We start from the raw sequence: 25,544 nt of genomic DNA on the forward strand, positions 1-25,544 counted from the left end.
GTCCTTTGTCGAAAACAGTGCAGCATTTGCTTGAAACCCAGGCACATCCTCCTGGATGCTGTCAATCATCTCCAGGCCCCCCGTGACACCGAGTCCAGTGTAAATTCTGTGTAAACAGTTGTTACACGGCACAGGTTTTCTAATATATTTTTATTATTTTTAATTGTTGTTTTGTTATTTTTTAATTTTTTTGATATTCAGTTAGTTGAATCCACAGACGAAGAGCCCACAGATGTGAAGGGGTCATCATATACACACACGTGCGTACATGCACACACACATGCATACTTACACACACACCCAAACAGCATGACACACGTACACACACGTGTCCACATCACACACACACAACCTGCAGACCCGGGGACTTGGCTGTGCCCTGGGGTCTGACCCCGCCCGTCTGCCCTCCCACACAGCCGTGGTCACTGCTTTTGGAAGTGCTAATGAAAACCTGCTGCGCACGAGAAGCAGCAGCCGAGTCACCTGGAGCTTGGCAAGCCCATCCCTGGAGGCCGAGGCTGATCACCATAATCCACAGTCCTATTTACATCTTGATTTCATTCTGGGAGCCGCGCATTTGCATAACTTACGGCCAGTGGTGTGCGCCCTGCCCCGGGGAACGCACACCGTCTCCTCCCCATCAGGCCTGGGACCCGCCTGATTGGCAATTTGATTAGGAGACAGAATAATGCCGGGCGATACAGTATGTAATTTATTTAAATGGAACAAAACGTGACACGCTATCACTGGAACCTGGCACCACACCTGTAGGAGCTTATTTGACACAAATTGAGATTTCAGGGTTTACAGATATTGCAAATGAAAACTCTCCGTAGGGTATCAATAAGAGTTCAACGGTTCCTTTTATTTGGTTTGAATTAATCACAATATAGGGAAAAAGTAGGTTCTATTTTTTGAAGGCTTTTTGAATAAAATCATTCTAAGAAGCATACATTTCTTCCGGAGATATAATTAAATTTCCAAATTGTAGTTTCCGGCTCTTACCCTCTGCAGTCAGTGCTGGGAAGGAATGTTGCTAATATTCAGGCACCAGGAAAGTTCTCGCTCAGTTCCTAGCCCAGCAGAGCCACTGCGCCCTCTCGGGAGCCACAGAACACCCGTGAGGACAGCACCTGTGGGCTTGAACCAGAAGCCCAGCCCTGCACCTCCCCTCCACTTCCCTTTCTTCTCCTTTTTCTTCCTTTCTCCTTCCTGGCAAACTGCAGAAATACCTTGCTATGAGCTAGGCCTGGACTCCTATCTGTGCAGCCACTCACAGTGGTCAGTTGCATCCGTCAGCCACTGCTGCATAACAAGCAACCCACGGTAAGTGGCCTGAAGTGATAAACAGGTAGTACTGCTCACACGTTTGTGGACAGCTGGGCAGGTGTGGTCTCAGCTGGGTCCACTCATGTGTCTGAGGTCCATTGTGGGTCCCAAGGCGGTTCTGCCACACTTAGCTGGGCTCTCTCCCGTGTCTGGGAATCGGCTGGGTGTCAGCTGGCCTAGGATGTCCTTGACTGGAACAAATGGGCACTCCCCTCTCCTCTCTCATTCTCCAGCAGGCCAGCCCCCGGGTCCAGCAGGGGTCTGAGAGAGCAGAGACTTGCAAGGCCCCTTGAGGCCCCAGACGACAGCACATTCTTCTTTCCCCCACAGTCTATTGGCCAAAGTAAGCCTCAGGCCCAGCCCAGATTCGAGGAGTGACGAAAGAGCCTCCATGTCTTTTGGGGGGCAAAGCTGCAAGGTGACAGGACAGAGGGTGTGGAACCTGGGAGACCTTTCTGTCCCCCACAGCCGAGTGGCTGCAGTGGGCCCCAGAGCTGCATCCCCTGGCCTCAAAAGCAGAACAGCCATTGCTGCCCCGCTGCCTATCCTGGTGTCTCTTCTCCGGACCACACGTCTGAGTCTGGGGCCACTGGAGAAGATGGCATCACGACCCAGCCAGCCTGGCACACGTGATGATGCTCACAGCTGGCTGATCCCGCAGGAACCGCAGGGAAGCAGCTGATTAAAGGCATCTCAAGGCAAATACTTGTAAGCAGCAAAACTGCCTGGGGGAGAACAGACAGTGAGTCCACTCTGGTCTGTCTCTAAATCCTCCACTTGCTCAAAGCCAGGGCCTCATGCTTTTAACAAGTTGATCTGCTGAACACGCCTCCCCATGAAGACCCATGAGGTCAACAGCAGTCTCAGCTCTCTCCACGGTGACGTCCTCCAGAGCCTTCTTACAGGATAAACTGGAAAGGTCTCAATATTACAGGGAATAAGTAATTCCTTCTCTTCGATGGGCTATCAGTAACCCCACACTTAATTTCCAAACACATGCAAACGGCAGCTGCAGGCATCACTTTTACCCGCATTTCATGAGACAGGAACATGAGCGACACATCTGAACATCACTGCCACTTGGAGGGGTATGAACTAATTTAACCCACAGAATCAGCGTTGTGGCTGAGGGCTCTTCTATGAAATGTCAATAAATATTGGGCCGGGCGCGGTGGCTCATGCCTGTAATCCCAGCACTTTGGGAGGCCGAGGCGGGCAGATCACAAGGTCAGGAGATCGAGACCATCCTCGCTAACACGGTGAAACCCCATCTCTACTAAAAATACAAAAAATTAGCCAGGCACGGTGGCGGACACCTGTAGTCCCAGCTACTCAGGAGGCTGAGGCAGGAGAATGACGTGAACCCAGGAGGCAGAGCTTGCAGTAAGCTGATATCGCGCCACTGCCCTCCAGCCTGGGCGACAGAGCGAGACTCCATTTCAAAAAAAAAGAAGAAGAAATGTCAATAAATGTGTTCAATGTGTGTGTTTAACATTGTCGGCTTGAACACGAAGGCAAGGAGCAGGCATTGTCAAGAGAATGAACATACTGAGAGGGAAAGAGTCTCCACTTCGCAGTCAGGTATTTCTGAGGAAGAGACATATGAAACGCATGTGGTTTTTCACATTTAGAGAAAGTGACGACTGTAAGAAGCTGACTGGATAAATAGTGGGGAAAGCTCTGTGCATAGCCAGCAGGAGAGTGCCCGGCATCTGCCGGTAGCTACACAGGCTCCTGGGAGAATCACCTTGACTAAGCGTCGATTTCACAAAGCTCCCAAGTCCAGGAGGGATTTCCACCTCTGCCTCCCTTTGTGGCAGTGACTATTCTGGGGAATTGGACTTAGGTGGCCTCTGCTGCCCGGCCCCTCTGCCCGTGCCACAGCTCCAGGGGTGAGTCCTGCCTGTGCCCAGGGTCCCGCAGGTCCCAGCTGGGTGTGGCTGGCATGGCTGGGGGATGGGCCCAGGCACAGGCTCCTCTCCTTGGGTGGAGCCCAGCAGCCCCCACCTCCTGGGCTGGACCCCTGGGGGGCCTGCACTTCCCAGCTGAGCAGGTAGGGAGGCTGCCATGCAGACGCTGTGGTTGGAGCAATTCCAAAGCACAGGCTGCCGTGTGAACAGGAGGCGAGGATTAAAACAGAAATAAGAAGTTCTCTCTCATCAAGCGTGGCAGTGACATACAAGGTCCTTCCCGGCAGAATTTCGCTTTTGTGCGATGAGAAGTTCTTTGCGTGGAGGGTGGTGATGATGACACAATGACGGGCCTGCGCCTGGCGCCAACTCACGGTATGGAGGCCTAAACATGGTCAGAATGGGAAATTTTATGTATTTTTACCAGAATTTGTAAAAGTCATAACGAGCCCAGTCTTTGTGGCAGAGGTATGCTCAAGTGTCTTTTTTTTTTTTTTTGAGATGCAGTCTCACTCTGTCACCAGGCTGGAGTGCAGTGGCTCAATCTTGGCTCACTGCAACCTCTGCCTCCCAGGTTCAAGTGATTCTCCTGCCTCAGCCTGCCGAGTAGCTGGGATTGCAGGTGCGTGCCACCATGCTTGGCCAATTTTTTTGTATTTTTAGTAGAAACAGGGTTTCACCGTGTTGGCCAGGATGGTCTCGATCTCTTGACCTCATGATCTGCCTGCCTCAGCCTCCCAAAGTGCTGGAATTACAGGTGTGAGACACTGCGCCCGGCCAAGTGTCCAGTTTTTTAAAGTCCCTCTGATGGTCGCCCACTCACATGAAGACAATGCACTGAGTACCCACATCGGAAGGAGAGCCAACGGCCCCAAAGGAAGCAAGCGGGGCTTGTGGGCAACCTGAGGCCATGTGAGGGAGACCTGCCACCAAGATGCAGAGTCTATCTATTTCCTCTCTGTGAATCTGGGTGGGTCACTTGCTGGGGCACCAGGTCAGACGTGCCCCCGGGGGGCTCCCAGCCTGAACTCCAGGGGACCCAGAGCCTCTGCTTGCACATCCTGGGACCCCAGGGCCGCTGTGCAAAGAAGCCCCAACTGGACTCCCGGGTGGAGAACTAAGGGCTCAATCCCCCAGCTCTGCCAAAATTAACTGGAGACTCCCAGAAGCAGAGATGCCTCGCTGCCACGGGGGCCACAGAGCTGCCTGGCTCACCCACCCAAAGTGCCGGCCCTCGGAGTCCTGAGCTACGTGAGTGCTTATTGCTTTCCTTTTTAAGTTTTTATTTTCAGCTGGTTTGTTACACAACAAAAGCTAACTGATTAACCAATAAATTTGAAAATTTAGATGGCAAAACAAATATAGAGAAAATGTACAAAAGTGATACAAGAGAAACAGAACATCTCAATGATCTTTTGTCTGTTAAAGAAAATGAACCTTCAGGCTAGGTTTGGTGGAGCACACCTGTAATCCCAGCACTTTGGGAGGCCAAGACAGGCAGGTCACTTGAGGTCAGGAGTTCAAGACTAGCCTGGCCAACATGGTGAAACCCCGTCTCTACTAAAAATACAAAAATTAGCCTGGCGTGGTGGCGGGTGCTTTTAATCCCAGCTACTCAGGAGGTTGAGGCAGGAGAATCGCTTGAACCCAGGAGGTGGTGGTTGCAGTGAGCCGAGACCATGGCACACTCCAGCCTGGGCGACAAGAGTGAAACTGCATTGAGAGAGAGAGAGAGAGAAGGAAAGAAGGAAAGAAAGAGAGAGAGAAAGAAGAAAGGAAGGAAGGAAGGAAGGAAGGAAGGAAGGGAAAGGAAGAAAGAAAGGAAGAAAGGAAGAAAGAAAGAAAGGAAAGAAAGAAAAAAGAAAGAAAGAAAGAAAGAAAGAAAGAAAGAAAGAAAGAAAGAAAGAAAGAAAGAGAGAAAGAAAGAAAGAAGAAAGAAAATGAACCTTCAACCTAAAACTTTCTCACAGAAAGTCTCCAGGCCAGGTGAGTTCCCTGGTGAAATTTTTCAAACATTCAAGAAAGAAATAAGCCCAACACACACTGCTGGCACAATGATGCCAGCGTAATCTTGGTGCCAAAACCTGACCAAAGGAAAGGTGGCTATGGGGCCAGCCCTCATGAGCAGATGTGCAAATCTAAACAAGTGTCAGCAACCAGACCCAGTGCTGTCTTAAAGGATCTTGAACTGCAACTAAATTATTTGTCTTTTCATTATTAATTTTTCCAACATTGAACAAATGCTCTTTCACTGACACTGGTCCTCTAGCCACATGTGAGCTTCTAACTTAAATTATGTTTTGTTTTTAATATTTTGGCCATGCGCAGTGACTCATACCTGTAATCCCAATGCTTTGGGAGGCTGAGGCAGGAGAATCATTGAGCCCAGGAGTTTGAGGCCAACCTGGGCAACACAGTGTGACCCCATCTGTACAAAAAAAAGTAAGGGGCAGGTGTGGTGGCTCACACCTGTAATCCCAGCACTTTGGAAGGCCAAGGCAGGCAGATCACCTGAGGTCGGGAGTTCGAGACCAGCCTGACCAACACGGAAAACCCAGTCTCTACTAAAAATACAAAATTAGCCGCACGTGGTGGTGCATGCCTGTAGTCCCAGCTACTCAGTAGGCTGAAGAAGGAGAATTGCTTGAACCTGGGATGTGGAGGTTGTGGTGAGCCGAGATCGTGCCATTGCATTCCAGCCTGAACAACAAGGTGAAACTCCATCTCAAAAAAAAAAAAAAGAAAAGAAAAAACTAACCAGGTGTGGTGGCATGCACCTGTGGTTCCAGCTGTTCAGGAAGCTGAGGCAGGAGAATCACTTAACTCCAGGAGGTGGAGGCTGCAGTGAGCCGTGGTCACACCACTGCATTCCAGCCTGGGCAACAGAGTGAGACCCTGTCTCAAAAATAAATACATAATAAACAATTTCTACTATGTTCTTTGTCTAGCCAGTTGTTCTTGTTCCTAATACTCTGTTCTTGTTTTATGAATGATATCTGTCTTCATCTCTCTGAAGATTGAATTTTGAATGGACTCACTGTGAAGTTCTGACTACTTTGATTACCTCTGGTTTCTCAGCTGTGACTCCTCCTGTTTATTGAGGCGGCAGCCTCTTTTCAGAGCGGGACGTCTTTGGGTGTTCGGTGATCCTGGCTCCTGGGGGTTTCTCTCCCGCAGGTGTCCAGGCTTGAAGCGGCCTCCGTCTGCAGCACTTTCGCTGCCCTGCTCTTGCCCTTCAGGTTGGATGTCAGTGCCTTGAGTTACAAACCTGTGTCGGGGGCTCCATCTGTCACCACAGCCGGACACAGTGCCCCACACCTGTGCTCCCCAGTACTCATGGGGCTGACAAAGGAGGATGGTTCGAGCCCAGGAGTTGGAAGCTGTAGCACACGGTGACTGTGTCTGTGAAGAGCCACTGCCCTCCAGCCTGGGCAACACCGCGAGACCCTGTCACTAAAAAATAAATATGTATATGTATATATATATATATAGCCACAGCTGGGTAATGCAGTGGGTTGAATAGTTTCCAAAATGTTCATCCAGAACCTCAGACTGTGACTGTAGCTGGACATAGATTCTTGGCAGATATGAGTGATTAAGTTTAGATGAGGTCACACAGGAGCAGGGTAGGCCCTCAGTCCTATGACTCGTGTCCATATAGGAAGCGGAGGGGACACAGAAAGGAAACAGGTGCCCGGGAAGATGGCCTTGTGCAGACAGATGCAGAGACCGGAGCGATGCAGCGGCTGCTGAGGACACCTGGGGACACCGGGGCGGGAAGCCGGAAGAGGCAGGAAGCCGGAAGAGGCAGGAAGCCGGAAGAGGAGGCAGGAAGGAGCTTCTCCCGGAAACCGCAGGGAAGGCGGCCCTGCCCACACCCTGAAGTCAGACTCCCGGCCTCCAGAATGGAGGACAACACGTTTCTGTTGTTTTAAGCCCCGCAGTACTGGGGTCTTTGTTCCGGCAGCCCTGGGGCACCCCGTGGACACCCTGCCTGAGGGCGCTGCCCCGTCCCCGGTGCCCAGGCGTTTGCCCCGTGCGTCCTGTCCTGAAGCATCATGGCCGGGTCACTGTGGCAACGCCGTTGGTCACTGTCCCCACAGAGCAGCTTCTGCAACACGCATGTCGTCAGGCGCCGCAACCTCGGGACCCCGGTGACCAGGAAAAAGGAGACTTGGACATAAACAGAACCAGCATTTTCCAGAGGAACTCCAGAACAGAAAAACATGCAGGGCATTTTGGAGAAGGAGAAGCGGGAGTTGAGACCGTCAGAAATGACGGGAGTCCGTGCCCTGCACCTGCCGACCGCCGGCCCCGTTCCAGGGCGAAACCGCGGTCTCTCCCTCTCCACGGGAGCCAGGAGCCCGCCCGGTGTTCCCCACCTCGCAGCGGGGAGGGAGGGTGGCCTCCCAAGTCGCACGCGGGACCCGGGCATGGGTGGCCCTGCTCCATACAGCCCCGGCCACCCCACCCCTGGCCGGTCCCACAGCCTCACACCAGCCGCTCCAGCCATAGCCACGGACGGCTGAGTCCGGCCCCGATGCTCATCCCTGGAGCTCGTGCTCCCTCCTCTGGACTCCCCGAGAACTGTGCCCGGACCGCGCGCAGCCGAGCGTCTCCCTGCACAGCGGCACTCGGCGCTGTCTGCAGAATGAGCCGGTGTGCAGAGACACGCGGGCCGGCCAGCCCCTGAGAATCGCCCGGGAGCCCGGCCGGGTGGTCCCCGCGCCTCCCTGGTCTGTCCCAGTCAAAGGTCCTGATTTATCGGGGGATTTTGTGGGACTGGAAACCGCCTGGCTGAGGGAGGGTCGGGAGGATTTCACTCCACTGTCTGAGGACTGGCTGCTGATGGCTTTGATGCCTCCCCTCTCCCTCCTCCCTGGGCCCCACACCGGCCAGGCCTCACTTTAGTGCCTGTAGAAGATTCGAAGCACAGAAGCCCCTGGCATCCCGGGGAACCCCCGCCCCGGCCCCACCCCAATCACGATAAACCCTGGCCTTTGGACCAGCTCGGATGGGGCGCGGCGGGGGGCTCCTGCTCCCCTGGAAACCTCAGTGGTGTAAGGGATGGGACGTTCTCACCCTCCTGGTGTGTGTGTGGCATCTTCAGTCTTGACATCTGAATCGAACATTGGGCAGGGGTCTCTCCTGTCCTTGCAAGGTGACCGTCACTGGGATGCCCCGTCTCCAGCTGAGCAACAGCACTGTGTGTCCCAGACCTGAACAGCGAGTGGAGACAGTGCCGCTGTGCCACCGCAGGGCACCTCCCGCTGCCTTGGCCACCCAGGCCCTCCTGGGAGGGATCCAAACCACTGACCAGAAATAACACCTGAAAACCGGAACCCGGGTCCTGGGGTCACACGCAGCCGAAGGGATGGGCTGGGTGCACGAAGGACGGGCACGGCAGAGCTCGGCTGTGAGGGTGTCATCTGGGCTCGGAGCTCAGCCGCCGTGTCACCTGACCCCCTGCAACTCCGCGTGTCAGGTGGGTCGTCTGGTTTTATCCCCAGAGCACCATCCTGGAGAAAACCAAGGACACAGCAGGGTATGAGGAGCATGGGTTCCTGGTTCAGAATGAGCTTAAACAAAAGGTTTATTGGCTGGGTTTGGCGTTCCATCTGTTTATTTGCTTTTGTCTGTGGTATAAATGTCATGAGGAAGCTGAAAATGGAGAATTAGGAATGGGCCTAAGTTGCTAGTGTCTGAAACCAAGGTTAAGCTGAAGGGGAAGCCCAGGGTGGATGGACCCAATGCTAGGTGGCTCGGAGGCTTCAGGAATGGCTGGATCCAGGAGCTTATGTGACGTTATCAGATCTCTCTCTCTTTCTGTCTCTCCTCTCGCTCTGTCTCCCCCTCTGCCCACCACTATCACTACCATGCCCCCCAGCCCCCATGAACCTGCTTCTCTTTGAGTCAGGTCAGGCCCCTGAACCCTCCTACCCACAGCCATGAGGAAGACGCTGTTCCCCGCAGCCAGCTTCATGCAGACTCCCCAGTTGGCCCTGCTGTGGGCAGGAAGATGAGGCACCTTCCCTGGCCAGCCATAGACGAAGTGGTGGCCCCTGGGGCCAGGAGACGAGGGGGTCCTCTGATGATGGTGTGGGTGCAGTGCAGCTGCCCTCATGAAAAAAAGAAGACTTCAGGCAAAGATCTAAGTAAGAGATTCCAGGATCTACGATAACCCAGCTCCTAGGGGAGGGAGGGATGCAAGAAACACACAGCGTAGAGTTCAACTCAGCAAGAAGGGGCAGCATGACTCAGAGTGACGGACCCTCACACCCACCACCTGCGTCCCACCAACCCGATGCCCACAGCGGCTGGACAGGCTGGACCAGGGGAAGTCAGCGTCTTGGACGCTGGTGCTAGGCCACCTGCATTAACCCTCAAGTCCACCCCAGTCTGCAGCGTGGAAACTCAGCACTGGGCTTTTGTGAAGATTTAATGAGTTGGTTCCTGATTAGAATCTGGCCCCAACCACAGGCCTGATGAGGCTTTGCCCGGCAGGCCTCGGGGAAGCTACCCTCCCCGCACCAGTCTTCTGCAGCCAGCGCATCACGGCGTCTGCAGGGAGCTGCAGTCCCGGGCCCAGCGGCCACCCCAGCACCAGAAGGCCAGCTCCCACTCACGTCTAGAGTCCTAGGCCAGGCACCGACATCCAGAGGCCTCCTTAGCGGGGTGGGGGTGGCAGCTGAGCCACCTTCCTCCCCTCATGCCCTTCCTGTCCCTGGCCCCAGACTGTTTTTAGAGGCAGTGTCTTGCTGTGTTGCCCAGGCTGACCTCAAACTCGTGGCCTCCAGCGATCCTCCTGCCTGACTTCTCCAAGTGCTGGGATTGCAGACGTGAGCCGCCACTGTGCCCAGCTCTGCCAGGAGCCTCTTGCTGGGGGCTCCTCCTCTTGAGGCGATCCCCACATCTGCACTGCACCCGGCCAACCCTCACCCGTCCCCTCCGTGGGGTGAATGGGACACGGAAGCCAGTGCCTCCCTCTGCCTCTGGTCTGTGGCCACCACCGTAGTGAGTAAAGGCTTGATGGCCGCGGTCGGTCCAGCTGTTCCTCCTCACTGACTGGCTGGACATCTGGTGGCTCAGCAGAGTGTGTAAGAGCCTCTGTAAGCCCCAGCGCAGGACGCACTCTCCAGGTAGCCTTGGTCCCAGGCCTGAGCCAGCCCTCTCACGCCAAGCTCAGGCCAGCTCTCAGGAGGCACCGCTGCCTTCCACCCTGGAACAAGAAACCGCAGCCACCATGAGACTCCAGCTCCCTGCCCGCAGCCCATCGGCCATCCGGTCCTTTCCTTTCAATTTTGTCCAGCATTTCCCCAGCCCAGTCCTCCCAGGCCCTGCTGGTACCCATCCCCGCGGTGCCAAGGGGACGCCTGCCCAAAGCCGACTTCAGCCCCTCTCACGGTGGCTCCCAGTGCCCGTTTAGAGAGAGAGTGAGTTCTTCGGAGGAAAAGGAGAAGATGTCTGAGGCAGCCTCTGCAGGGCAAGTGTTCTGCAGGGCAGGTGTGGGGAAGCTGGGAGTGGTCCCAGCCCTCGTGGGAGGCCTGTGGCAGCCCCGGCTCTGGAGTCAGCGCTCCCTCCTGGGAACCGATAGCTGTCTGTGAGCTCTGACCCGGCAATTCGGAAGTGGCCATGGGGACTGCATGTTTGGAATAGGGGTCTCCATCCCTCCGTTAACTGGAGACGCAGTGGAGACAGTCACTGAGACCCCAGGGGAAGGGACACCTCACAGGAACCAGAGCAGAGAAAACACAGACTTGTCTGAATCCACTTCTAGCATCTCAGTAATTCTGAAACATCAAACAGAGCTCGGCTATCAGAGGCAACAACTGAGTTGGAGGAGGTCCTGCTTCACCCCGAGAGGTTTCCCCGGCCCCGTGAACCATTGTTCTGAGGAAGTTCCCCACCTCCTTCCCCGCTTCCCACAGCCACAAGTCGTGAGGGGCTTCCCCCTGGGTGGGGGGCTCCTCTCCACCTCCACTCACCCTGTAACATCTGTTTCCTCTGCCCGGGGCACAGAACAGGGGCTGCTCAGAAGCTGATTTGTTTTCTGTTGAATTTGTTGAAGAATCATGTAAAATGGACCCTTATAAGGGAAAGTAAGTTTAAACCTTCAAAAGAAAAGTATACACCAACCTGGTTCAGGGTGAGGAGGCCCTGCTTTCTCTCCAGATGTTGGCTGTGTTAGTCAGAGTTCTCCAGAGGAACAGAGCCAGGGGGTCGTGCACAGAGAGAGGTTTATTTTTAAAAATTGGCTCCCACAGTTAGGAAGCTGAGAGCTCACCATCTGCAGCTGGCAAGCTGGACACCCGAGAGAGCCGGACACCCGGGAGAGCCGGACACCCGGGAGAGCCGGACACCCGGGAGAGCCGGACACCCGAGAGAGCCGGACACCCGGGGGAGCCAGCCAGCCAGGGGAACCAGAAGCCTGGGAGAGCCAGTGCTGCAAGCTCTAGTCCTGGTCCAAATCTGAAGGCAGGACGAGCCCATGTCCAGGCAGAAGGCGCCATGCCTCCGACAGACCCAAGGAGGCCCTGCACGCTGGGGAGGGACCACTGCGTTACTCACCCATGGACTCAAGTGTCCTCCTCACAGCCCAGCCATGGTGACACCTCGATTCCGCATCACATCGGCGAGTGCACGGCCTCCAGGTGGCTACGTGCCCTGCGTACTCATCACACTTGGCCCGGCGGAGCCTGGGTGGCTTCGTCTGACCTTATCTACTGGGCCAACTTACCCTCTAGATCCCCCAAGCCATGGTCTGTAGCGCCCCTTTCTCCCGTCCTGCTCCAGACAGCGAGGGCCTCTCCGTGGTTGAGGGCAGGGAGCACAGTCTTTGCCGAGCCCGCACGCTGCTCCCGGGATAGCAGGCACAGGCAGACGCAGCCCCAGCCCCGGGAGCAGGTGTGGGCTCCAGCTACACAAAGGAGATCTCAGAATCGGGAAACATGGCCACTCTTGGCACCCAACTTCTTTTTGAAATATTGAAATATTTTTCTTTTTACAAAAATGTGTTCAAATGCTATAGGTTTACTTTTGTTATATGGAAATGAATGAATATGGTCTAACTTCTCAGTTTTAATTTCAATAGGGTAGATATCAGTAGACATAAGCCACATAAACAAAAGCTTGCTGGAGTCCTCAATAATTTTTTTTTTTTTTTGAGACAAGGTGTCACTCTGTTGCCCAGCCTGGAGTGCAGTGGCACAATCTCAGCTCCCCACAGCCTTAACCTCCCTGGATTCAAGTGATCCTCCCACCTCAGCCTCCCGAGTCACGGGGACCATGCCTGCCTAATTTTTGTGTTTTTTGTAGAGATGGGGTCTCACTTCATTGCCCAGACTGGTCTTGAGCTCCTGGGCTCAATTGATCCTCCCTCCAGCCTCGGCCTCCCAAAGTGCTGGGATTACAGGCATGAACCATCACACCCAGCAAATAATTTTTTTTTTTGAGATGGAGACTTGCTCTGTCCCCCAAGCTGGAGTGCAGTGGCACGATCTCGGCTAACTCTCACTGCAACCTCCGCCTCCCAGGTTCAAGCGATTCTCAGGCCTCCGCCTCCTGAGTAGCTGAGATGACAGGCGTGCACCACCACGCCTGGCTAATTTTTCATACTTTTAGGAGAGACGCCTGTGATCCCAGCACTTTGGGAGGCCAAGCGGGGAGGATCACTTGAGCCCAGGAGCTCAAGACCAGCCTGGGCAACATGGCTAGACCCCATCTCCACAAAAAATTTTTAAAATTAGCCAGGCATGGTGGTGCATGCCTGTGGTCCTACCTACTCAGGAGGCTGAGGTGGGAGGATCACTTGAGCCCAGGAGTTTGAGGTTGCAGTGAGCCATGATCACACAACTGCACTCCAGCCTGGGCAATAGAGCAAGACTCCATCTTAAATAAATAAATAAATAAATAAATAAATAAAATGTACCATCTTAACCACTTTTAAGCGTGTACTTCTGTGGCGTTAAGTACACCCACATCCCTCTGCAACCATCGCCATATTCATCTCAAGCACCTGTCATCTGCCCAGACTGAGACTCTGTCCCCATTAAACACTAACTTACAATTTCCCTTTCACCACCCCCTTCCCCGCAAATTCTACTTTCTGTCTGTGTATTTGATGACTCTAGGCTCCTCACATGAGCAGAATTATGCAGTATTTCCCTTTCGTGTCCAGTTTGTTTCACTTAGTAAATTTTTAAGGTTCATCTATGTTGTAACATGTATCAGAATTTTCTTCCTTTTTTTTTTTTTTGAGATGAGGGCTCACTCTATCACCAAGGCTGGGGTGCAGTGGCACAGTAATGCCTCACTACAACCTCTGCCCCTCCTCTGGGTTCAAGCAATTCTCGTACCTCAGCCTCCCAAGTAGCTGGGACTACAGGTGTGGACCACCGCGCCCAGCTAATTTTTTGTGTTGTTGGTAGAGACAGGATTTTGCCACATTGCCCAAGCCGATTTTCTTCCTTTTTGAGGCTGGATAATATCCCACCGGACGCGCAGACCACATTTTGTTTACCCATTCATGCACTGATGGACACTTGCGTTGCTTCCACCTTTTAGCTCTTGTGAATAACGCTGCTGTGAACATAAATGTATAAATGTCTGTTCAAGTATTGCTCTCAGTTATTTTGAGTGTATATTCGGAAATGGAATTTCTGGATTACATGGTCATTCAGTTTTTTGGGGAAGCCAGCACACGGTTTTTCCATAGCTGCTGCATCATTTTACATCCCCACCAAGAGTGCACAGAGTTCCAATTTCCCTCTGTGCTCGTCAACACTTGTTATTTTCTCTTGCTTCCGTAAGAGCCATCCTAATGGGCATGAGGTGGGGTCTCACTGTGGTTTTTACTTGCATTTCCCTAGTAATTAGTGATGTGGAGCATCTCCTCATGTGGATCTTGGATACTTGTGTATCTTGTTTGGAGAAATGCCTACTCAACTTCTCCACCCACGTTTTTTATTGTGTTGTTTGGTTTTTGTTGTTGTTGAGTTGCAGGAGTTCTTCACACATTCAAGATATTAATCCCTTATCAGGTAGATTATTTGCAAATATTTTCTCCCATTCCACATGTTGCCTTTTCACCTTTTTGATAGTGTCCTTCAAAGCACAAATGTTTTTAATTTGGGGCCGGGCACGGTGGCTCACACTTGTAATCCCAGCACTTTGGGAGGCTGAGGCGAGCGGATCACCTGAGGTCAGGAGTTTGAGACCAGCCTGACCAAAATGGTGAAACCCTGTGTCTCCTAAAAATACCAAAACTAGCCGGGCGTGGTGGTGGATGCCTATAGTCCCAGCTACTTGGGAGGCTGAGGCAGGAGAATAGCTTGAACCCAGGAGGCGGAGGTTGCAGTGAGCTGAGATTGTGCCATTGCACTCCAGCCTGGGTGACAGAGCAAGACTCTGCCAGAAAAAAAAAAAAAAGAAAGAAAGAGAGAGAGAGAAAGAAAGAAAGTTTTTAATTTTGTTAAGGTCTGATTTACCTATCTTTTCTTTTGTTGCCTGTGCATTTGTGTCATATTCAAGAAATCATTGCCAAAATCAGTATCACAATGCTTTTCCCTTATCTTTTCTTCTGAGAGTTTTAGCTTTTACAAGTAGATCTTTGATAAATTTTGAGTTAATTTTCAAGTCTGGTGCTACATAAAAGTTCTATTTTATTCTTTTACATGGGGATATCTAGTTTTCTCAGCAGCGTTTGTTGAATGGACTGTTCTTTCCCTATTGAATGGTCTTGGCACCCTTGTCAAAAATGATTTGACTGTATATATGAGGGCTTATTTCTGGGCTGTATTCTATTCCCTTGGTCTATATGTCCTGTGTTTATGCTGGTACCATACTGTTTTGATGACTGTAGCTTTGTAGTAAATTTTGAAATTAGAAAGTGTGAGTTCTTCAACTTTGGGTTTTTTTTTTTTTCTTTTCCAGACTGTTTTGGCTAGTGAGGATCCCTTGAGATTCCACATGAATTTTAGAGTGGGTTTTTCTATTTCTGGAAAAAAAAAATAAGTCTGCATTTGGGAGGCCGAGGCGGGCAGATCACAAGGTCAAGAGATCAAGACCATCCTGGCTAACACAGTGAAACCCCGTCTCTACTAAAAAAATACAAAAAATTAGCCGGGCATGGTGGTGGGCAGCTGTAGTCCCAGCTACTCAGGAGGCTGAGGCAGGAGAATGGCATGAACCTGGGAGGCAGAGCTTGCAGTGAGCCGAAATTGCGCCACTGCACTCCAGCCTGGGCAACAGAGCTAGACTCTGTCTCAAAAAAAAAAAAAAGTCTTTGGAATTTTGATAGGAATTGCATTGAATCTACAACTTGCTTTGGACAAGATGGATGTCTTAACTATAATAAGTCTTCTAATTCGTAAACACTGGGTGTCTTTCCATTTATTTATGTCTTTTTATTTTTTCAGCAATGTTTTGTGCTTTTCAGCATACAAGTCTTTCAATTCCTTGGTTAATTCATAAGTATTTTATTCCTTGTGGTGCTATTATGAATGGAATTTTTAAATTTCTTTTTTGGATAGCTCATCATTAGTATATGCAAATGCAATTGACTTTTGTGCGTGGATTTTGTATCCTGCAACTTTGCTGAATTCACCTATTAGTTCTGTTAGTTCTAACAGGTTTTGGGTGGAATCTTTAGGATTTTCTGCATATTCCATCATGTTGTCTGTGAACAGAGATAATTTCACATCTTCTTGTCCATGTTGGATGCCTTTTGTCTATTTCCTCTGACTGCTGTGGTTGGAACTTCCAGTGCTGTGTTGAACAGCAGTGAAGAGTGTGGGTACGTTTGCCTTGTTCCTGGTCTCAGAGGAGAGGCTTTGTGCCTCTCACCATTGAGTACAACGCTCACTGTGGGTTCTTCCTACATGGCCATTGTTATGTTGAGGTCGTTTCGTTCTAGCCTGGTTTTTTCCATGTTTTTATCATGAAAGGGTGTTGAGTTTGTTCAAAGGCTCTTTCTGCATTGATTAAGGTCACGTGGTTTCTTTCCTTCATTTGGTTAACATGGTGTACAACATCGATCGGTTTTCATATGTTGAACCGTTCTTGCATTAAGGAACAAATTCCACCTGGTCCTGGAGTAGAATCCTTTTAATATGCTGCTGAATTGGGTTTCTGCTAGTATTTTGTTGAACTTTCCATTCTATTACAAAATAAAACGTTTTTATGTTTCATTGATTCATTCTCCTATTCGGGAAAATATCGAACATGCACATGGAATCCCTTTCATATGTGTCTTCGGTATCCCTGTGACCAAGAGCAAGAGAGAGTCACGAGAGGCAGAGATCCTCGGAGACCCAGGGCTTTGAGCTGGATGCAGGGCTGGCCAGGCCCCTGGGGTGTCTTGTGGTGGTGAAGACGGGGTCCTGTGGGTTCCACGTGTGGGAAAAGTGGTGAGGCCACCATTTGATCATCTGATGATCAGAAGAGTGTGGGTGGCAGGAGCTGGCAGCTGTCACCAAAGTCACTTCCTGTTGTGCTTAGGCACACAACCAAACTATGTTTTCCAGCCTCCCTTGATATTGAAGATTATCACAGGACTGAGTTCTGGCAAAGGAGTATGGGCATCAGGTGCACCAGCCTGGTCTCCAGGACACCCTGGGAAGCTCTTCCCGGGCTCTTTTTCCCTCTGTCTGGAACCAAAGTGACCCCAGGGCCATATCTGGAACCATGTATGGAAGGTGGAGGAACCCTAGGAGAAGGAATCCAGTTCCTGACCGTTAGGAACAGAGCCAGCCATGAGCAGCATTGGACTCGAGAGTAAAATACACTTGACTGTGTGCAGCAGCAGAGATTTTTAGGGTTTTTCTATTATACTCACTGAGGTATTCACCCATGTAGCCACACCACCATCTCTGGGTGTTGAGCTGCACTGGCCTTTCCCTCTGGAACACTCTGACCTCCCCATCTCCTTCTTTCTAGAACACTCTGACCTCCCGGTCCCCTTCTTTCTGGAACACTCTGACCTCTCAGTTCCCTTCCTTCTGAAACACTCTGGCCTCCCTGGTCCCCTTCTTTCTGGAACATTCTGACATCCCTGTCCCCTCTCGCCTGGCTCTGCTGCCTGCCGGGCTGTGTCCCACGGCCAGGGCTCCAGGGGAGAAGGGGAACCTCAGCCTCTCGGGTAGAGAAAAGTCGGGGAACTGACTCACAGCCTCACGCCTCTGGGGCCCCAGTCACTCTCCCACCTCCACCCTACTGTACCCGCCCCACCCCCTCGGTCGCACACCTGCCCCACGGGAACACAGTGGAGCCTCTAGAAAAAGTCCAGGTGCTGCTTCCACACAGGCACCAAACCTGAAGAGCAGCACAAAGGAAGGTGCCTGAAAGGCGCTTGCAACACTCACCCAGAGATAATGCTGCGGTTTCCACAACTGCTCTGTTTTAATATCGACTCCCACGAGTTGAGGGGACGTTATTTTCCTTATTTACAGATAAGGAAGGTGAATCTAGGCAGCCCCTCCCACTCACCCTCCTGCAGCAACGCCCCTGACACCCCTCTACCCACCCTGCTCCGGATGCCTGAGCTGCCTCCCCTACGTGATGGCCTCAGAGGTCTCAGCTGAGGACCTATGGGGGCACCTGTGAGGTCCAGTCATCTGAAGCCATGTCCACACTTGAAGACTCAGGCTCGCTGAGAAAGCTCGGCCTCGGCTGGGCTGCTGGGGCTGCAGGGGAGGCCGGGATGACCCAGAGGGAGGAACCAGCACCAGGCTTCAGGGAGGGGGTGGTCGGGGATATTAGAGAGGAGAGTCCGCAGCAGGTCCCAGCTCCGCCGTGTGGCCAGGGACACCACTGAGGCCTGGTGGCCCGTCCCTGCCCCCCACCCTCCCGGGCTTATTCTCCCTCAGGGCACCCAAGAGGAGAAGCCTTCCCCTGCCCTTATACTCTCACTGCAAAGGCCGGGTAGGGCTGAGACATTTCGGAAGAAGGCCCACTGCCCGCAGAGAGGGTCGGCCTCCTCGGGGTTCTGGGGAGGGGACAGTGGCAGGAGGCGCCTGGTGAGATCTGGTGAGCGCCAGTTCCAGAATGGGGGAATGTGGGGCGCTGTCCGAGGTCCTGAACGTCTCTGGAGGGCCTGACTACGTCAGGCTCAGGACTCAGAGGACCTGTGCAGCAGCGAGAACAGAGGGGTCCAAGGAGGCAGAGACGGGGGAGATGGGGCTCACAGCAGCACTTGTCATGCAGACTCGGGGCTCCTGGGCATCTCTGATACTCAGGGGCCATGGGGTCAAGACGGATTCAGGGATCCGGCCAGGTCCAGGGACTGAGTGGCCTCAGGGTTACCTCCATGCACTGCACCTGTGGGTCCCCACAAGGCCTGAGTCAGTCCAACCTGGAGCTCCGGCCAGGGGCAGTGCAGGACTGGGCAGAGCCTCACCAGAGAGACCAGTGGTGGTGGACACGGAGGGGATGCCAGCCTCGGAAGGAGAAAGGGTTTATCTCCTAGAGGAGAGCTGTCCAGCCGGGGCGTGACAGCAGCCTGGGGTCCAGAACAGAGGGAAGGGGCACCGTGCTGTGCGACCCGGCTGTGCTTCAGCCTCCTGGGAGACTCAGCCCCCTGGGAGGCTGCCCACAAACGGGCCAGGCATCCACCTGGAGGAATGAGCTCCCCGTCAGCTCCGTGGCTCCCCAAACTGGCACATATACCCAAGTCAGACAACACAGAAGCATGGTCTCCATGTGGAGTGGAACGCAGACCCCCTGCCCAGGCCCTGCTGGCTGACCTTGGGCCCCTTCCAAGCCACTAAGCCCTCATCACAAAAGTCAGACGTGCTGATCTCTGAAGCCAGGCCTGATGCCGGGGGCCTGGTTTTCTGCTCTTGACGGGAATAGCTCACAGCTGTGTGTCTATATTGGAAGCCGCTTCTACCAAGCCCAGTTATTTATATATCTTCTTCCCAAATGGAAATATAAGGAAATGTGTTAGCAATTTTGACTTTATTTCATAAAACACAGGATGAGGCCAAATGGAAGTCTGTTTCTGAATAAGATTACAGATTACAGATCTGAAAAACAAAGTTGTCTTTCAGCTGCAAATATCATTTAGAGAAAATGTCTTGTTTTGTAAAAAGAAGCTGTGTGTTGACAGATTTCTTCCCCTCAAATTCTAGAGGAATTTCAAAGCTCTCAGAGGTTCTAAGCTCTCAAAGTTCTACCTGTGGGGGAGGTGGTGCTTGCATCCTGGACACCCCCTGCCCCCTGCAGGCCCAGTGCAGTGGGGTCGCCAGATGCAGCTCTGTGCCCACAGGCTTGCTGGCAGGGGCAGGGCTGGCTGCCATGGGGGGGATGCCACCTCCACCCTGACCAGCACCTCAGGTACACCAGCCCAGCAGCAGGATGCAGAGGTTCCAGGATCCCCATAGCAGGACAAATATCCTCATCCTTCCCTGGGCATCTGGAAACCCAGCTATGCCATCGAAGCCTTCCGGGAAGGCGCACCTTGCCCACTCGCAGCTTGCCCCCCATCCCCAGCTTGTCCCCCACCCCAGGCTTGTCCCCCACCCCCAGCTTGTCCCCCACCCCGGGCTTATCCCCAACCCCCAGCTTGTCCCCAACCCCTGGCTTGTCCCCCACCCCACCTTTCCTTTAACTCTTGCTCGGCCTCATGTAGAGGTTGAAGGGAACACCCCCAGGCAGGTGACAGCTCCCCACCTTCGGGTGACCCACCCGCTGCCTCCCACAGCCCTCTCACTTGCCCCCGCAAGCAATGCCCCTGAGCCCCCACTTCCTGCCCTGCTTGGCAATGCCTGAGCTGCCTCCCCTATGTGATGGCCTCAGAGGCCTCACAGGGAAGCCTGAGACCCCCCGTGCCATGCCCACCCTGCCCACAGGACCCTTGAAGACCCCAGGTGGCCACGGGCTCCCTCCTTTCTGTCCCCTAGTTCCTCACTTCCTGGTGGTCTCTCCTCGCCTGTCACCTCCCCGAAGCCTTCCTTGGCTGTCCAGGCACCTCTCAGCACACATCTTCCTCTTCCCACCCTGGGTGTCACATCTGCACGCATCAGTCAGCGCACTTGTGCTGGTCTCTCCTTCCCGCTGCTGGTCAACCTCGCCGGGCACCTACCATAGGCCCTGCATCCATGATAGGGACCGGCAGAGCCCTGGGGAGGACACCGAACTTAGGAGGGCTTCCTGGAGGTCAGTGAGAGTGGAGCTGGGAGTATGAGGAGGACCATCACCCCTGGACTGGGTTCCTGCATATATGAGAGAGGAGACTGCCATTCCTGCATATACAGAGAGTGTATCATTCCCGCATATACAGAGAGGAGAGGGTTCCATTCCCGCATATACAGAGAGGAGAGGGTTCCATTCCCACATACACAAAGAGGAGAGGGTTCCATTCCCACATATACAGAGAGGAGAGGGTTCCATTCCCGCATATACAGAGAGGAGAGGGTTCCATTCCCGCATACACAAAGAGGAGAGTATACCCTTCGTGCACATGCGTAACCTCATTGCATGCTGATGAGAAGCCTCGGGCATGCGTGTGCATGGGCAGTGGGCGACACACAGCTCTTCCCAGTGATGCCCCTTCTGTCTTTAAAATTATGATTAGTAATGAGCGCAGAATTTTTCTTGAAGAAACAAGAGTAAGAAGTCATTTAACGATTTCCAAACTAATTACGAATATGGCCATACTTGAAAAGCCACTCCCTAAAAGTGATGACTTGGCTCAAGCTGCAGTGAGAACCCGCACGGGAGGCATCCGCCGTGAGAACCCACATGGGAGGCACCTGCTGTGAGAACCTGTGCGGGAAGCACCCGCAGCCATGCCACTTTTCACCCCGGCCCGAGGCAGAGACCCCTTCACATCCCCACCTTGCCTGCCCCTGCCTCCTCAGTGGGGTGATTGAATAAAGGACATTGGTTCTGGTTATCATCTTTGAGCTGCCAGGTTTTTTAATGGCTGCATGGAGATATCATTCGCATACCCTCAAACTCACACGCTTTAAGTGCCCAACTCAATGCCTTTTAGTATATTCACAGGCTGTGCGTCTATCACCACAATTTTAGAATATTTTATCACCTCAAAAAGAAAGAAATCCTGCTTCCAGCAGCCATCACTCCGAGTCTCCCGTTTCCCCGGCCCTTGTCCATCATGAGGCCACTCTCTGTCTCTGTAGATGTGTCTGTTCAGGACATTTCACATCAATTCAATCATACACCATGTGGTCCATGGAGATCAGCTTTGTTTACTCAGCATGATGCTTTCGAGACTCTGTGGGGGCGATCTGGCTGTGGCATCTGTCACCCCATTGATTACCAGGTTTGATTCCACTGATGTGGCCAGCTCAGCGGCGTTCCCTTCCCGCCTGACCACTCCATGTGCCTCCCTCCCAAAACTGTGTGCTCAGCCAAAGAAAATGACCTTCCCAAATAGAAAAGGACCATTCTTCAGTCCGGGGTGTCCGAGCAGCCATGCTTCCCTGCTAGAACCTCCAAAGAAGCTCTCGAGGTCCATCCATGGTGCAACAGGAATCAGACCTTTGTTGCCATTTAGGATTTAATATGATTCCATTGTATGGATTACATCACATTTTGTGTAACTACTTATCCCTTGGCAGAAATTTGGGTTGTTTCCACTTTTTGGCTATCACTAATCATGCTGCTATGAACACAGATGTACAGCTTTGTCCATGGACACGTTTGCCTTTCTCCTGGGTAAATGCCTAGTAGAATTCCTGGGTCATCTGGTAACTCTATATTTGACATTGGAGGGAAAATGAGACTGTTTTCCACAGTGCTACACCATTTGCCCCTCCTGCCAGTGATGGATGAGGAATCTGGTTCTCCACATCCTCCCAACACCTGTCATTGTGCCCTTTAGACTACAGACATCCCAGTGGATGTTAAGCGTTGTCTCTTTGTGGCTTTGATTTGCCTGTTCCTGACAGCTGCTGAAGTTGAGCATATGTCCATGTCCCTAGTGGTCCATTGGTGTGGTTTGGCTCTGTGTCCCCACCCAAATCTCATCTTGTAGCTCCCATAATTCCTACGTGTTGTGGAAGGGACCAAGTGGGAGATGACTGAATTATGAGGGTGAGTCTTTCCTGTGCTGTCCTTGTGGTAGTGTATAAGTCTCACGAGATCTGATGGTTTGATAAAGGGAAACCCGTTAGGCTTAGCACTCATTTTCTCTTGCCGCCGCCATGTAAGAAGTGCCTTTCACCTCCCACCATGATTCTGAGGCCTCCCCAGCCATGTGGAACTGTAAGTCCAATTAAACCTCTTTTTCTTCCCAGTCTTGGGTATGTCTTTATCAACAGCATGAAAACAGAATAATACAGTAAATTGGTACCAGTGGAGTGGGGCACTGCTGAAGAGTTACCCAAAAACATGGAAGTGACTTAGGAACTGGGTAACAGGCAGGGGTTGGAACAGTTTGGAGGGCTCAGAAGAAGACAGGAAAATGTGGGAAAGTTTGGAACTCCCTAAAGACTTGTTGAATGGCTTTGACAAAAATGCTGATAGTGATATGGACAATGAAATCCAGGCTGAGGTGGTCTCAGATGCAGATGAGGAACTTGTTGAGAACTGGGGCAAAAGTGACTCTTATTATGTTTTAGCAAAGAGACTGGCAACATTTTGCCCCTGCCCTAGAGATGTGTGGTACTTTAAACTTGAGAGAGATGATTTAGGGTATCTGGCAGAAGAAATTTCTAAGCAGCAAAACATTGAAGTGGTGACTTCGGTGCTGTTAAAGGCATTCAGTTTTAAAAGGGAAACAGAGCATAAAAGTTTGGAAAATTTGCATCCTGATGGTGCGATAAAAAAGAAAATCCCATTTTCTGAGGAGAAATTCAAACCAGCTGCAAAAATTTGCGTAACAAGGAGCGAATGTTAATCCCCAAGACAATGAAGAAAATGTCTCCAGAGCATGTCAGAGGTCTTCATGGTAGCCCCTCCCTTCACAGGCCTGGAGGTTTAGGAGGAAAAAGTGGTTTCGCGGGCTGGGCCCAGGATCCCCGCACTGTGTGCAGCCTAGGGACTTAGTGCCCTGCATCCCAGCCACTCTGAAAGGGGTCACAGTAGAGCTCGGGCTGTGGCTTCAGAGGGTGGAAGCCCCAAGCCTTGGCAGCTTCCACGTGGCATGGAGCATGAGGGTGCACAGAAGTCAAGAATTGAGGGTTGGGAACCTCCTCCTAGATTTCAGAAGATGTATGGGAACTATTACTGCTGTAATAGTACCTTCTATAATTCTTATATGTTCTAGATATAAATGATCAAATATTTGATTTGCAAATATTTTCTCCCATTCAGTGGGTTGTCTTTTCATTTGCTATAATAGAGACATAGTGTCCTTTGATGCACAAACGTTTTTAATTTTGATGAAGTTCAACATATCTGTTTTCTCTTTTGTTGCTTGTGATTTTGGTATCATATTTAAGACACCATTACCTATCCAAAGATTTACATGTGTGTTTCCTTCTAAGAGTCTTATAGTTTTAGCTCTTGCAGTTAGATCTTTGAGCTGCTTTGACTTAATTTTTTGTATGTGTGAAGTGGGAACTCAAATTTATTATTTTGCATATGGATATACAGCTGTCCCAACAGGGTTAGTTGAAAAACTATTCTTTTCCCCCAATAAATGGTCTTAATGTCTTTGCCAAAAACCAACTAAGGGTTTAATTTCTGGGCTCTCTATTCCACTGATGTGTGTGTCCAGCCTTGTATCATTACCACACTGTCTCCGTTACTGGTGTTTTGTATTCAGTTTTGAAATAAGGAAGTGTGAGTCCCCCAGCTTTGTTCTTTGTAAAGTTTTGAGTTTTGATGTTATATTCAGGGTCTTTTTAGATTCCATACTAATTTTAGGATGGATTTTTTTCTGTTTCTGCAAACAGGTCAACTTGCGTTTGGATAGGGATTGCACTGATTCTGAAGATCAATTTGGAGAGTATTGCCATCTATTCAGTATCAGTCTTATGGTCCATGAACTTGAAATGTCTTTCCATTTATTTAGGTCTAATTTAATTGCTTTCAACAATGTTTTGATGTTTTCAGAGTTTAAGTTCTCCACTCTCTTGTTAAACATATTCCTAAATGATGTTCCATCTTTTATTTCTGATTTTAGTAAGCTCAGTCTTCTCTCTTTTTTTCTTAGTCTAGCTAAAGGTTGGTCAGTTTTGCTGATCTTTTGGAAGAATCAGCTTTTATTTTACTGATTTTCTCTATTTTCTAATCTATATTTCACTAACTTTTTTTCTATTCTTTATTATTTCCTCCTTTCTGCCTGCTTGAGGTTTAGTTTGCTCTTCTTTTTTCACTATCTCAAGTTGGGAGGTTAGGTTGTGGATTTGAAATCTTTCTTCTTTTTAAATGTAAGGGTTCTCAGATGTAAACTTCCTCTCTGCACTGCTTTAGCTGCATTCCATACGTTTTGGTATGTTGTATCTCCAATTTCATTTATCTCAAAGTATTTTCTTATTTTCCCTGTGATTTTGTCATTAATCTGTTTTGTTATTTAGGAATGTGTGTTACTTAATGTAGACGTATTTGTGAATTTCCCAAGTTTCTTTCTATTTTTTTTTCTAATTTCACTCCATTATACTCAGTGATTGTGTTTTGAATGGTTTCAATCCTTTGAAAGTTACTGAGGCTGATGGATTCACAGCCACATTCTACCAGAGGTACAAAGAGGAGCTGGTCCCATTCCTTCTGAAACTATTCCAAACAATAGAAAAAGAGAGACTCCTCCCTAACTCATTTTATGAGGCCAGCATCATCCTGATACCAAAACCTGGCAGAGACACAACAAAAAAAGAAAATTTCAGGCCAATATCCCTGATGAACGTGATGCAAAAATCCTCAATAAAATACTGGCAAACCGAGTTCAGCAGCACATCAAAAAGCTTATCCACCACGATCAAGCCAGCTTCATCCCTGGGATGCAAGGCTAGTTCAACATATGCAAATCAATAAACATAATCCACCACATAAACAGAAACAATGACAAAAACCACATGATTATCTCAATAGATCCAGAAAAATGCTTTTGATAAAATTCAACATCCCTTCATGCTGAAAACTCTCAATAAACTAGGTATTGATGGAACATATCTCAAAATAATAAGAGCTATTTATGACAAACCCATAGCCAATATCATACTGAATGGGCAAAAGCTGGAAGCATTCCCTTTGAAAACCGACACAAGACAAGGATGCCCTCTCCTACTCAACACAGTATTCGAAGTTCTGGCCAGGGCAATCAGGCAAGAGAAAGAAATAAAGGTGTTTGAATAGGAAGAGAGGAAGTCAAATTGTCTCTGTTTTCAGATGACATGATTC

The 25,544-nt window shown here is 50.8% G+C and overlaps 1 long non-coding RNA gene and 1 pseudogene across 1 annotated transcript, besides 4 other annotated features; one reads left to right on the top strand and one right to left on the bottom strand.

The window, feature by feature from the left end:
* Window positions 230-950: an enhancer, noted in NCBI's record as "OCT4-NANOG-H3K4me1 hESC enhancer chr22:50111085-50111805 (GRCh37/hg19 assembly coordinates)". NCBI's record gives its function as "activates a minimal SCP1, AML or CMV promoter by ChIP-STARR-seq in naive H9 embryonic stem cells {active_cell/tissue: H9 hESC(naive)}" and the evidence as "EXISTENCE:reporter gene assay evidence [ECO:0000049][PMID:30033119]".
* On the bottom strand, window positions 845-11,905 carry LOC124905146 (uncharacterized). Its single transcript, XR_007068152.1, has 2 exons — window positions 6,304-11,905; window positions 845-3,624 (listed from the first exon to the last, which is right to left on the bottom strand). It is a non-coding gene; the product is annotated as an uncharacterized LOC124905146 (long non-coding RNA).
* Window positions 1,577-2,089: an enhancer, noted in NCBI's record as "H3K4me1 hESC enhancer chr22:50112432-50112944 (GRCh37/hg19 assembly coordinates)". NCBI's record gives its function as "activates a minimal SCP1, AML or CMV promoter by ChIP-STARR-seq in naive H9 embryonic stem cells {active_cell/tissue: H9 hESC(naive)}" and the evidence as "EXISTENCE:reporter gene assay evidence [ECO:0000049][PMID:30033119]".
* Window positions 6,679-7,409: an enhancer, noted in NCBI's record as "H3K27ac-H3K4me1 hESC enhancer chr22:50117534-50118264 (GRCh37/hg19 assembly coordinates)". NCBI's record gives its function as "activates a minimal SCP1, AML or CMV promoter by ChIP-STARR-seq in naive H9 embryonic stem cells {active_cell/tissue: H9 hESC(naive)}" and the evidence as "EXISTENCE:reporter gene assay evidence [ECO:0000049][PMID:30033119]".
* Window positions 7,410-8,140: an enhancer, noted in NCBI's record as "H3K27ac-H3K4me1 hESC enhancer chr22:50118265-50118995 (GRCh37/hg19 assembly coordinates)". NCBI's record gives its function as "activates a minimal SCP1, AML or CMV promoter by ChIP-STARR-seq in naive H9 embryonic stem cells {active_cell/tissue: H9 hESC(naive)}" and the evidence as "EXISTENCE:reporter gene assay evidence [ECO:0000049][PMID:30033119]".
* On the top strand, window positions 21,470-21,796 carry RN7SKP252 (RN7SK pseudogene 252; annotated as a pseudogene).

The sequence above is a fragment of the Homo sapiens genome, chromosome 22 (genome assembly GCF_000001405.40).
Source record: "Homo sapiens chromosome 22, GRCh38.p14 Primary Assembly".
Lineage (NCBI taxonomy): Eukaryota > Metazoa > Chordata > Mammalia > Primates > Hominidae > Homo > Homo sapiens.